General features: G+C 36.9%; 1 annotated feature.

The window, feature by feature from the left end:
* Nucleotides 341–635: an enhancer, noted in NCBI's record as "tiled region #2751; HepG2 Activating DNase matched - State 5:Enh". NCBI's record gives its function as "activates a minimal TATA promoter and a strong SV40 promoter by Sharpr-MPRA in HepG2 cells {active_cell/tissue: HepG2}" and the evidence as "EXISTENCE:reporter gene assay evidence [ECO:0000049][PMID:27701403]".

Consider the following 934-nt stretch of genomic DNA (forward strand, 5'->3'; position numbering starts at 1 on the left):
GTGTTGGTGTGTTGGTACCATTGCCAAAAACCAACTGATTACATATCGATATCACATATCTATGGGTTTACTTACAGACTATTAATTAATTCTATTTATCTATTTATGTCTATACTTATACCAATATCAAACTCTTTTGACTACCGAAGCTTCTATATTGATTGAGACGTGTCTCAGATACTTTTGGTTTACAGAGTTTTCTCTGAGCATATTTCCAACCGTGGGCATGTGCATGACCTTATAGATTTTCTAGAATTTGTGGAAATTCTTTTTTATGGGAAATTCTTTTTCACTTATGTATTTCCTTCCTTAGCTTCTTCCTTCCCGGGCCTCCAGTCTGTCTGCTGCTTGTCTCAGGGTGGTGGGGCCAGTATTTTTGCCTTTGGATGTTTTCAAGAAACTTCACCCAAAAGGCTGCCTCAGCCCTGATAAAGTTTAAAGATAGGTGATGAAACCATGCCAAGCCTCTGTACTGGTCTTCTATGGAGCAGAAAGGTCATAACACATAAACACAAAATGTTAAGAACAAGGTTCATATTTACCTCTCTGGCACCACCAAGCTGCACGAGGAATGTGGATCCCTTTCCCCAAGGTCACCCCTGGGCTTTGGAGTGGATGATAATAGGTGGGAAAGTGTTGCCATGCTCTCTCACCAAACTTTAGCAGCTTCTTTTTTCACTGAGAATTTCCTTGGTTGTTGCAAATCTCTCTTTATTTTTCAGATTCCAGAATTCTGAAAAAGTTGTTTGACAGTTTTTGTCAACTTAAATCATTGGTTTTATAGGTAGATGAAATATTTCAATTTGTTGCTTTATTATTGATCTAGATTTAATTATTCAAAAAATATATATTGAAAATGCCTAGAATGGGCTTCTGTCTGTGTGGGTGTATGTGAGTGTGTGTGTGTATATTCTTATAATTATTTTTAAAAGGA

The sequence above is a fragment of the Homo sapiens genome, chromosome 8, assembly GCF_000001405.40.
Source record: "Homo sapiens chromosome 8, GRCh38.p14 Primary Assembly".
Classification (NCBI taxonomy): Eukaryota; Metazoa; Chordata; class Mammalia; order Primates; family Hominidae; genus Homo; species Homo sapiens.